Here is a 12,766-nt window from a genome sequence, read left to right as displayed (position 1 = left end):
ACGTTTTCCAATTTCATCCATGTCCCTACAAAGGACATGAACTCATCATTTTTTATGGCTGCATAGTATTCCATGGTGTATATGTGCCACATTTTCTTAATCCAGTCTATCGTTGTTGGACATTTGGGTTGGTTCCAAGTCTTTGCTATTGTGAATAATGCCGCAATAAACATACGTGTGCATGTGTCTTTATAGCAGCATGATTTATAGTCCTTTGGGTATATACCCAGTAATGGGATGGCTGGGTCAAATGGTATTTCCAGTTCTAGATCCCTGAGGAATCGCCACACTGACTTCCACAATGGTTGAACTAGTTTACAGTCCCACCAACAGTGTAAAACTGTTCCTATTTCTGCACATCCTCTCCAGCACCTGTTGTTTCCTGACTTTTTAATGATTGCCATTCTAACTGGTGTGAGATGGTATCTCATTGTGGTTTTGATTTGCATTTCTCTGATGGCCAGTGATGATGAGCATTTTTTCATGTGTCTTTTGGCTGCATAAATGTTTTCTTTTGAGAAGTGTCTGTTCATGTCCTTCGCCCACTTTTTGATGGGGTTGTTTGTTTTTTTCTTGTAAATTTGTTTGAGTTCATTGTAGATTCTGGATATGAGCCCTTTGTCAGATGAGTAGGTTGCGAAAATTTTCTCCCATTTTGTAGGTTGCCTGTTCACTCTGATGGTAGTTTCTTTTGCTGTGCAGGAGCTCTTTAGTTTAATTAGATCCCATTTGTCAATTTTGGCTTTTGGTGCCATTGCTTTTGGTGGTTTAGACATGAAGTCCTTGCCCATGCCTATGTCCTGAATGGTATTGCCTAGGTTTTCTTCTAGGGTTTTTATGGTTTTAGGTCTAACATTTAAGTCTTAAATCCATCTTGAATTGATTTTTGTATAAGGTGTAAGGAAAGGATCCAGTTTCAGCTTTCTACATATGGCTAGCCAGTTTTCCCAGCACCATTTATTAAATAGGGAATCCTTTACCCATTGCTTGTTTTTCTCAGGTTTCTCAAAAATCAGATAGTTGTAGATATGCGGCGTTATTTCTGAGGGCTCTGTTCTGTTCCATTGATCTATATCTCTGTTTTGGTACCAGTACCATGCTGTTTTGGTTACTGTAGCCTTATAGTATAGTTTGAAGTCAGGTAGTGTGATGCCTCCAGCTTTGTTCTTTTGGCTTAGGATTGACTTGGCGATGCGGGCTCTTTTTTGGTTCCATATGAACTTTAAAGTAGTTTTTTCCAATTCTGTGAAGAAAGGCATTGGTAGCTTGATGGGGATGGCATTGAATCTGTAAATTACCTTGGGCAGTATGGCCATTTTCATGATATTGATTCTTCCTACCCATGAGCATGGAATGTTCTTCCATTTGCTTGTATCCTCTTTTATTTCCTTGAGCAGTGGTTTGTAGTTCTCCTTGAAGAGGTCCTTCACATCCCTTGTAAGTTGGATTCCTAGGTATTTGATTCTCTTTGAAGCAATTGTGAATGGGAGTTCACTCATGATTTGGCTCTCTGTTTGTCTGTTGCTGGTGTATAAGAATGCTTGTGATTTTTGTACATTGATTTTGTATCCTGAGACTTTGCTGAAGTTGCTTATCAGCTTAAGGAGATTTTGGGCTGAGACAATGGGGTTTTCTAGATATACAATCATGTCGTCTGCAAACAGGGACAATTTGGCTTCCTCTTTTCCTAATTGAATACCCTTTATTTCCTTCTCCTGCCTAATTGCCCTGGCCAGAACTTCCAACACTATGTTGAATAGGAGTGGTGAGAGAGGGCATCCCTGTCTTGTGCCAGTTTTCAAAGGGAATGCTTCCAGTTTTTGCCCATTCAGTATGATATTGGCTGTGGGTTTGTCATAGATAGCTCTTATTATTTTGAAATACGTCCCATCAATACCTAATTTATTGAGAGTTTTTAGCATGAAGCGTTGTTGAATTTTGTCAAAGGCTTTTTCTGCATCTATTGAGATAATCATGTGGTTTTTGTCTTTGGCTCTGTTTATATGCTGGATTACATTTATTGATTTGCGTATATTGAACCAGCCTTGCATCCCAGGGATGAAGCCCACTTGATCTTGGTGGATAAGCTTTTTGATGTGCTGCTGGATTCGGTTTGCCAGTATTTTACTGAGGATTTTTGCATCAATGTTCATCAAGGATATTGGTCTAAAATTCTCTTTTTTTGTTGTGTCTCTGCCTGGCTTTGGTATCAGAATGATGCTGGCCTCATAAAATGAGTTAGGGAGGATTCCCTCTTTTTCTATTGATTGGAATAGTTTCAGAAGGAATGGTACCAGTTCCTCCTTGTACCTCTGGTAGAATTCAGCTGTGAATCCATCTGGTCCTGGACTCTTTTTGGTTGGTAAGCTATTGATTATTGCCACAATTTCAGATCCTGTTATTGGTCTATTCAGAGATTCAACTTCTTCCTGGTTTAGTCTTGGGAGGGTGTATGTGTCGAGGAATTTATCCATTTCTTCTAGATTTTCTAGTTTATTTGCATAGAGGTGTTTGTAGTATTCTCTGATGATAGTTTGTATTTCTGTGGGATCGGTGGTGATATCCCCTTTATCATTTTTTATTGTGTCTATTTGATTCTTCTCTCTTTTTTTCTTTATTAGTCTTGCTAGCGGTCTATCAATTTTGTTGATCTTTCAAAAAACCAGCTCCTGGATTCATTAATTTTTTGAAGGGTTTTTTGTGTCTCTATTTCCTGCAGTCTGCTCTGATTTTAGTTATTTCTTGCCTTCTGCTAGCTTTTGAATGTGTTTGCTCTTGCTTTTCTAGTTCTTTTAATTGTGATGTTAGGGTGTCAATTTTGGATCTTTCCTGCTTTCTCTTGTGGGCATTTAGTGCTATAAATTTCCCTCTACACACTGCTTTGAATGTGTCCCAGAGATTCTGGTATGTTGTGTCTTTGTTCTCATTGGTTTCAAAGAACATCTTTATTTCTGCCTTCATTTCGTTATGTACCCAGTAGTCATTCAGGAGCAGGTTGTTCAGTTTCCATGTAGTTGAGCGGTTTGGAGTGAGATTCTTAATCCTGAGTTCTAGTTTGATTGCACTGTGGTCTGAGAGAGAGTTTGTTATAATTTCTGTTCTTTTGCATTTGCTGAGGAGAGCTTTACTTCCAAGTATGTGGTCAATTTTGGAATAGGTGTGGTGTGGTGCTGAAAAAAATGTATATTCTGTTGATTTGGGGTGGAGAGTTCTGTAGATGTCTATTAGGTCCGCTTGGTGCAGAGCTGAGTTCAATTCCTGGGTATCCTTGTTGACTTTCTGTCGCGTTGATCTGTCTAATGTTGACAGTGGGGTGTTAAAGTCTCCCATTATTAATGTGTGGGAGTCTAAGTCTCTTTGTAGGTCACTCAGGACTTGCTTTATGAATCTTGGTGCTCCTGTATTGGGTGCATATATATTTAGGATAGTTAGCTCTTCTTGTTGAATTGATCCCTTTACCATTATGTAATGGCCTTCTTTGTCTCTTTTGATCTTTGTTGGTTTAAAGTCTGTTTTATCAGAGACTAATATTGCAACCCCTGCCTTTTTTTGTTTTCCATTTGCTTGGTAGATCTTCCTCCATCCTTTTATTTTGAGCCTATGTGTGTCTCTGCATGTGAGATGGGTTTCCTGAATACAGCACACTGATGGGTCTTGACTCTTTATCCAACTTGCCAGTCTTTGTCTTTTAATTGGAGCATTTAGTCCATTTACATTTAAAGTTAATATTGTTATGTGTGAATTTGATCCTGTCATTATGATGTTAGCTGGTGATTTTGCTCGTTAGTTGATGCAGTTTCTTCCTAGTCTTGATGGTCTTTACATTTTGGCATGATTTTGCAGCGGCTGGTACCAGTTGTTCCTTTCCATGTTTAGTGCTTCCTTCAGGAGCTCTTTTAGGGCAGGCCTGGTGGTGACAAAATCTCTCAGCATTTGCTTGTCTGTAAAGTATTTTATTTCTCCTTTGCTTATGAAGCTTAGTTTGGCTGGATGTGAAATTCTGGGTTGAAAATTCTTGTCTTTAAGAATGTTGAATATTGGCCCCCACTCTCTTCTAGCTTGTAGGGTTTCTGCTGAGAGATCCGCTGTTAGTCTGATGGGCTTCCCTTTGAGGGTAACCCGACCTTTCTCTCTGGCTGCCCTTAACATTTTTTCCTTCATTTCAACTTTGGTGAATCTGACAGTTATGTGTCTTGGAGTTGCTCTTCTCGAGGAGTATCTTTGTGGCGTTCTCTGTATTTCCTGAATCTGAACGTTGGCCTGCCTTGCTAGATTGGGGAAGTTCTCCTGGATAATATCCTGCAGAGTGTTTTCCAACTTGGTTCCATTCTCCCCATCACTTTCAGGTACACCAATCAGACGTAGATTTGGTCTTTTCACATAGTCCCATATTTCTTGGAGGCTTTGCTCATTTGTTTTTATTCTTTTTTCTCTAAACTTCCCTTCTCACTTCATTTCATTCATTTCATCTTCCATCGCTGATACCCTTTCTTCCAGTTGATCGCATCGGCTCCTGAGGCTTCTGCATTCTTCACGTAGTTCTCGAGCCTTGGTTTTCAGCTCCATCAGCTCCTTTAAGCACTTCTCTGTATTGGTTATTCTAGTTATACATTCTTCTAAATTTTTTCCAAAGTTTTTCAACTTCTTTGCCTTTGGTTTGAATGTCCTCCCGTAGCTCAGAGTAATTTGATTGTCTGAAGCCTTCTTCTCTCAGCTCGTCAAAGTCATTCTCCATCCAGCTTTGTTCCGTTGCTGGTGAGGAACTGCGTTCCTTTGGAGGAGGAGAGGCGCTCTGCTTTCTAGAGTTTCCAGTTTTTCTGTTCTGTTTTTTCCCCATCTTTGTGGTTTTATCTACTTTTGGTCTTTGATGATGGTGATGTACAGATGGGTTTTCGGTGTGGATGTCCTTTCTGTTTGTTAGTTTTCCTTCTAACAGACAGGACCCTCAGCTGCAGGTCTGTTGGAGTACTGGGCCCTGTGAGGTGTCAGTCTGCCCCTGCTGGGGGGTGCCTCCCTGTTAGGCTGCTCAGGGGTCAGGGGTCAGGGACCCACTTGAGGAGGCAGTCTGCCGGTTCCCATATCTCCAGCTGTGTACTGGGAGAACCACTGCTCTCTTCAAAGCTGTCAGACAGGGACATTTAAGTCTGCAGAGGTTACTGCTGTCTTTTTGTTTGGCTGTGCCCTGCCCCCATAGGTGGAGCCTACAGAGGCAGGCAGGCCTCCTGGAGCTGTGGTGGGCTCCACCCAGTTCGAGCTTTAGGCTGCTTTGTTTACCTAAGGAAGCCTGGGCAATGGCGGGCGCCCCTCCCCCAGCCTCGCTGCCGCCTTGCAGTTTGATCTCAGACTGCTGTGCTAGCAATCAGTGTGACTCCGTGGGGTAGGACCCTCCGAGCCAGGTGCGGGATATAATCTCGTGGTGCGCCGTTTTTTAAGCGGGTCTGAAAAGCGCAATATTCGGGTGGGAGTGACCCGATTTTCCAGGTGCCGTCCGTCACCCCTTTCTTTGACTCGGAAAGGGAACTCCCTGACCCCTTGCTCTTCCCAAGTGAGGCAATGCCTCGCCCTGCTTCGGCTCGCGCACGGTGCACGCACCCACTGACCTGCGCCCACTGTCTGGCACTCCCTAGTGAGATGAACCCGGTACCTCAGATGGAAATGCAGAAATCACCCATCTTCTGCGTCGCTCACGCTGGGAGCTGTAGACCAGAGCTGTTCCTATTCGGACATCTTGGCTCCTCCCGTGGTAAGTTTTCTTTTCCTTTGTTTAGAGTTTCTATTTTTTCTTTTTTTTTTTCTCCCACAGTGTTACTATTTACTTTTTGGAGCATTTTTATGCTGGTTCCTTAAAACCCTTGTCAGACAATTATAGTATCTGTATTATCTTGGTGTTGCTGTCTGTTGTTTGCCTTTTTGCATTCAAATTGAGATGTCCTTGGTCATAGTGTGATGAGTAATTGTGGATTGTAACTAGGACATTCTGAGTGTTGTGTCATGAAGTTCTGGTTTCTATTTAAATCTTCTTTCAGCAGGCAGTCAACCTGTTTAGCTTCAGGATGCATGTTCCGGTACACTTTCATAGGCTGAGATTCAAATGCCAATTTAGTTTGCTACCCTGGTCTTCCCAGCTTATGTGCTGCCCAGAGGCCAATGTGAAATGATAGCAGTGTTTGACACTGCAGCTCAGTTCTCCAATCTTCTAATGTGTTGATTCTTATTAGGCATAGGCTGCTTGGGGGTCTGCCCAGGAATTAATACACAGGTTCTCTCCTCCGTAATCCTACCTACCCTGCTCTAATTGGGAGGGGAGGAGGTGCTGCCTCTTTGCTGCTGTTTGCTTCGTGCACGGTGGGGATGGTCACAGTCTATGCACCAGTGGAGTGGGAGAGAAGCATCACCTCTTTGCTGACATTTGCTTAGTGCAGCAGAGGGATGGTAGAAAGGATTCACTCTACAGTCTCCACAGTGATAGGTATTGGGGGAGGGGTGCCACTTCTACCCATGTTAGTGTAGGATCAGAATAGTTGAAAGGGCTTCACCCTGAAGTTTGCTCTGAGTCCTGGTGTAGAGGAGGAAGGGTTCTTTCTCCTTAATGCAAGACAGAAATGGCCAAACAGGTCTCCACTACAGTCTCTGATATGGTTTGTCTGTGTCCACACCCAAATCTCATCTTGAATTGTAGCTCCCATAATCTCCACATGTCATGGGAGGGACCCAGTGGGAGGTAATGGAATCATAAGGGCGGTTACCCTATGCTGCTGTTCTCATGACAGTGAGTGAGCTCTCATGAGATCTGATGGTTTTGTAAGGGGCTTTTCCCCTTTTTGCTTGGCACTTCTCCTTGATGCCACCATGTGAAGAAGGACATGTGTGCTTCCCCTTTTGCCATGACTGTAATTTCCTGAGGCCTCCTCAGCCATGCTAAGCTGTGAGTCAGTTAAACCTCTTTCCTTTATAAACTACCCAGTCACAGGGATGTCTTTATTAGCAGCAGGAGGACAAACTAACACGGTCTCCCTGACCATAGACTCCAAGTCGGGAGAAGAAAGGGTCCCTGATCATTAGGGTAGGACAGGGATGGTTGACAGGGCTCTGCCCTCAGTCCCTGCAGCTGCGGTGTTGCATGGGGTTGGAGGATTGTATCACTTTTTTTTTTATACCATCTGTTCATCTGGTGTAGAATGTGTTCTATCTCTCAGGGCTGCCCGTTATCAATACTTTTGCCTAGAGAAAGTAAGCTTTCCTTGGAGCCTTTGTTTTTTGTGCCTGTTGGTATTTCTGAGTGTGGGCCTCTCCGGTACTCAAATGAAGATATACGGGAGGGAAATCATAACAAGGAACTCACCACCTGGTTGTTCCTCATGTCTCAGAATCCCTGGCCAAGTCACCTTCTTTTCTCTGCCTCTCAGTCTTCTGATGGTTGCTTTAGAGATTTCATCCAGAGTTTGGTTGTAAATAGTGGGAAATATAAGATGGAATGTGGTTACTCCAATAGAAATGAGAGGAATCTTTTATACTTACTTCCATGTTTTACCATTTCTGATGCTCTTCATTTCTTTGTGTAAACCAAGCTTGTCCAACCATGGCCCATGGGCCACATGAGGGCCAGGATGGCTTTGAATGTGGCCCAACACAAATTCATAAACTTTCCTAAAACATTATGGGATTTTTTGCGATTTTTTGAAGCTCATTAGCTATCCTTAGGGTTAGCATATTTTATGTGTGGCCCAAGACAATTCTATCTCCAATGTGGCCCAGGGAAGCCAAAAGATTGGACACCCCTGGTGTAGACCCGAATTTTTGTCTGCTCTCACATTCCATGTAATAGAGAGTAAGATTCCATTTTTTATGTTTGACCTTTGATAGCTTTCAAACCTCATTCCTTCTCCAGTTACAAGGACCTGCATATTTCTTCCCTTGGTGTCAGCAGGAAGTCTGAACCACACAAGCCCCACCCTTTGTGCTTGAACCTTTTCCTCAGTCCCACCACCTACTCACAATACAAGCCAAATCCATTAACTCTGCCTCACTCCCACCATTTATACTGACTTGCACCTGACCTTTTCTCTTCAGAAAGTCCCATGGCATGAGCAAGAAGCATTTCCATATCTTCTCGGTGCATACGGCCTTATCATTCTTGACATTTAAACTATTCCAGTGAGAGGGGGCCGATCCCATCCTCCTCAAGGTGATCATAATACACTCTTACTATCTGAAGAAATTTCTTTAAATGAATCGAGAATGAATTGTCTCAGCCTTTGTTTGTTTGAAAATGTTTTTATTTTACCCTAATTTTTAAAAATATTTTTATTTAATATAGAATTCTGGGTTGAGAGATTTTTTCCCTTTCTTTCAGCATTTTAAAAATGTCACTCCATTGTCTTTTGGCTTGTGTAGTTTCTGATCAGAAGTGTCCTGTAATTCTTATCTTTACTGTTCTGCATGTAATGTTCCCTTTTTTCTCTGCTATCTTCAAGCTTTTCTCTTCATCTTCCACTTTTGACAGTTTCACTATGATGTGTATAGTTAAGTGGGATTTTTTGCTGATGGTGGTGTTGGTGTTTTCTTTTTCCTTTCTTTTATTTTTGGTATTAATTCTGCATAGGGTTCTCTGAGAGTCTTGGATCTGTGGTTTAATGTCTGTTATTACTTTTGGAAAATCCTTGACTATTGTCTCTTCTAATATTTCTTCTTCTTCATTCCCTCCTCTCCTGTGACTGATAACATATACGTTAGCCCGTCTCATGATGTCCTACAGCTCTTGAATACTCTGCTTTGCTTTTGCCATTATTTTTTCTTTGTGTTTCTCTTTGGATAATTTTTATTGACCTATTTTCAAATTTGTTGATTTTTTTCAAAGCTGTATTCATTCTACTCATGTGCCTGTCAAAAGAATTCTTTATCTGTGATGTCATATATTTAATTTCTAGCACTTCTATTTTACTTTGTCTTGTAGTGTTCCTCTCGCTGGTGAAATTCCCTATCTGTTTGCGTTTGTTGCCCCTTTTACATTAGATGCATTAACATATTTATTATAGTTATTTTAAAATCTCTGTCTAATGGTTCCAACTATTGGGGTCATCAAGTCTATTTCTGTTGATTGCTTTGTCTCTAGATTGTTTTATCTTTTGCTTTTTAAAAAATTATAATTTTTGATCGAATGCCAGACATTGTGTGTTAACAGTACAGACTGAGGTAAATAATATTCACATCTCCAAATTATTATGCCTATTATGTCTGACTTCTAGTGTGCAAGGTGAAGTCGATCTAGTTAGGAGCTGAGCTGGGTTTGGGTTTACTTTGTTGCTATTGCTATCTTCAGTGCTGCTAAGGCTTCAAGTTTCTGTAAATACGAGATGTTTCTATAATATCTTGTACTAGATTGGGGACTGGGGTGTTGGGTGGTTTTCTTCTGTGTTCCTAATGCTCCCTTTACCTTTTAGCTATTCCTGCATGTCTTTGCCACAGAGGGACTCTATCTATACTCTCGCCTCTTCAGGGATAGACTCTCTTTACTTGTTACTCTGTGCTAGGCTTATGGTGAGATAGGGTTTTCTTTGTTGTCTTGCTGCAACCTCAATCTTAGACAGATATAAACCTTAGGGTGGGGCTGTCTCAGCAATTCTGCTCTTCCTTCCTACGGCAATTAAATTCTGCCTTGTATCTGTGATGGTCTTGGACAGGAGATTCCTGCTCTCCCCTCCCTCAGTGTAGCAGACTTCTGGTTGGTACTGGTATAGGATCCTGGGCCTGGAATAGCTTCTTTATTTTATCTCAGAACTAGGACATTTTTGCATCTACCCTTCCCACAGTACCAAAGGATTTTCTCCTGTGTCCTTGGGGCTAGAGTTTTCCTACCCCTCTTCCAGAGGCATATAAGTTTTGCTTCTAGTCTTTCTATAAGAGCAATGGATTTTGCCTGTGCCCTGTGTGTGGGAGGATGCGGTCCCCTCCCCTCAATGTCTTAAGGCGTTTACTGCATAGAAAGGAAGGATCCAGGGGAAGTGGGTGGGGCTTTGTTCCTGTCCTCCAACAGCAGCTGATCTTGTCCTGCACACCCACATACCTGTGCCTCTGAAGGAGCAGCCCCCGTTTCCTGCCCACTCCTAATATGTCTCTTGAGAGCCCTCAGTGATTTTGTGAGTGAGTGTGACTCCCTGAGTTTCCCAGTTATTCCAAACTTACATCCTAGGCCACACTTGGACTTTAATGATTTACTAACATTTTATCTGATAGCTTCATACCTAATGGGGGCCACATGTTTTTCCTGTGCTCAGGCAAAGGTGAGAAACGCCATGTGTCTCGTGTCTCCCTGGAGTGCCTGCTCCCTCTTTGGAATTCTGCTTATTTGGTTGCCTTGCCATCTTAGATCTTTGATAGACTCAAGAAAAATTATAATGTTGGTACACTAGCCAGGTTTTTTTATTATTCTTTGCAGCTTTCTACATCCCACATGGAAGCAGCAATGAGATGTTTTAAAACGAGATGTTTCAAAATCACCATCTCACTCTAGTTTGTCTACAAAGCCATCTATCAAGAACATTATATGAACTTTTAAATACATTCTTCTGTATTTATAGAATGATTTTTAAAGCATTTCCAGCCATGTTTAAAAGCTGTGAATAGTCTTTTTTTTGTAACCTAGTAACCAAAGTTATTAATGAAAGTCACAGTTAAACTTTTTTCCTTTGAAAATAAAATGAATCAACACATAACGAGAAGGTTAACATTTTTCTCTATCTTCTGGAAACTCTTGCATTGTTTTATTTTAAATTTATATAAGCTCTCTGTAACCAATTAGGACAGCATCTCCCATGGATTTTAATAGACCTTGTAATATGTATTACTTTTCTTTTGTGGGGTATCTGTTTATCTGTGCTAGTTAGTTCTAGAGTATGCACATCATGATGGAACATTTGTGTCATTACTTGATGTTCTGATTTTTTATGGCGGTGTAACAAATTACCTCAAAGCTCAGTGGTGTAAAACAGTCACACATTTTCACAGATATTGTGCATCAGACATTTGGACAGGCACAGCAGAATGGTTTGTCTCTGTTCTGTGATGCCTGGGGCCGCAGCTGGGAGACTCCGAGGATGGGGGCTGGAATCACCCACAGGCTCCTTAGTCATCTGCCTGGGGATCCTCTCCACAGGGGCTTCTCCGTGTGGTCTCCCCGCAGGGTCTGGTTTGGGCTCCCTTCCGGCATGCTGGCTGGCCACGCGGAAGCTGTGTCGGCTGTTCTAACCCAGCTCCAGAAGCCAAGCTGCGGTACACGTACCACAGCCCATTAATTGAGTGAGCTACAAAGATCCACCCGAAGCCAAGGGGAGCACACGTGAACTCCTGCTCTGACTGGGGGGGGCAGGAGGGCAGGAAGATTCAGAAAAAGCAATGAAACTAGAAACCACACAGAGGCCATTTTTAGAAAATACCAGTTGCTATAATTAACCTCCAGAGTCTTTCAAGAGCTGGAGGAAGAGCAGGGGAAAAGAAGGTGAGAGGGGCTGGCTGGAGTCTTCCTTCACAATCCCTCAGAACTCACTAGTTCTTTTTTTCTGTAATTAGGTGGGATATTACTTTCCAGTTATTCTTTTGTTCGCACTATTGCCAAGTGTTCCTGTCAAAAGAGTTTCTATTTTGTTGTTTGTGTGTTTGTGTTTTCGAGGATGTGTTAACCCTGTGTCCTTTTCAGGGTCACGCCGCTTACCTTTTATCCAGCAAGGCTTCGCACCTCCTGGGAAATGATTGGTCAGAGGAAGTCAGAAAAGCCTAGAATATAAATGCGCGGCACAAGTCTCAGTTTATCACTGACATTTTTTCTGACCTGAGTAGAATAACTTAGGTAGATAATTTTAGAATCTGAATTGAGTTTAGAAGTCTCCTTATGCCAACTAAAGAATGCAGGCCATTGGATAGTCAGGATTTTTTTTTTCTATTTGTTTTAGGATGCCTCTCAAAATAACTATTTTGTCTATGTTAAAAGTTACCCAAAGTGGCTGGACGTGGTGGCTCACACCTGTAATCTCAACATTTTGGGAGGCCAAGGCAGGCAGATCACCTGAGGTCAGGAGTTCGAGACCTGCCTGGCCAACATGGTGAAACCCCGTCTCTACTAAAAATACAAAAATTAGCCAGGCATGATGGTGGGCACCTATAATCACAGCTACTGGGGAGCCTGAGGCAGGAGAATTGCTTGAACCCGGGAGGCGGAGGTTGCAGCGAGCCGATATCACACCACTGCGCTCCAGTCTGGGGGTCAGAGTGAGTCTCCATCTCAAAAAAAATTTAAAAAAATAAAAAATAAGTTACCCAAAGTGGCCAACCATAACTTCAATTGTCCTTGATGAAATAACATCATTTACATGAATTAGAATTACATGAAAATATGGAGTAAGCAGGTGTTTGGCCTGAGAGGGGCTCGCATGTGGACCAAGACCATCCCACAAGAACTGCAGTGGTGGGTCGGGACCGTGTGCCCACAATCCTGTCCAGAACCTGGCCCAGAGCCGGCTGTCATCAGTCCGGGCTAAGGACCCTCCTGCCATCTGTCTGCTTTCCACGTCTTGAGTGTTTTTCATTTGCGAGAGGACATCTGTTGGGGGAGGGTGGACCTGGAGGCTGGCTGCAGGAGAGACTCACTGGACTCAGATCTGCCCTCTCCCCACAGACATCTTCCTGCAGACAGACAGCGCTTGCTTCCCTGACAGGCTTGATAAAATATTTGGAACCCAGACTCACACTTACCTCCTATAGATGGCGACTCAAG

Source organism: Homo sapiens, chromosome 15 (assembly GCF_000001405.40).
Source record: "Homo sapiens chromosome 15, GRCh38.p14 Primary Assembly".
Lineage (NCBI taxonomy): Eukaryota > Metazoa > Chordata > Mammalia > Primates > Hominidae > Homo > Homo sapiens.
Note: the sequence above shows the minus strand (reverse complement) of the source record.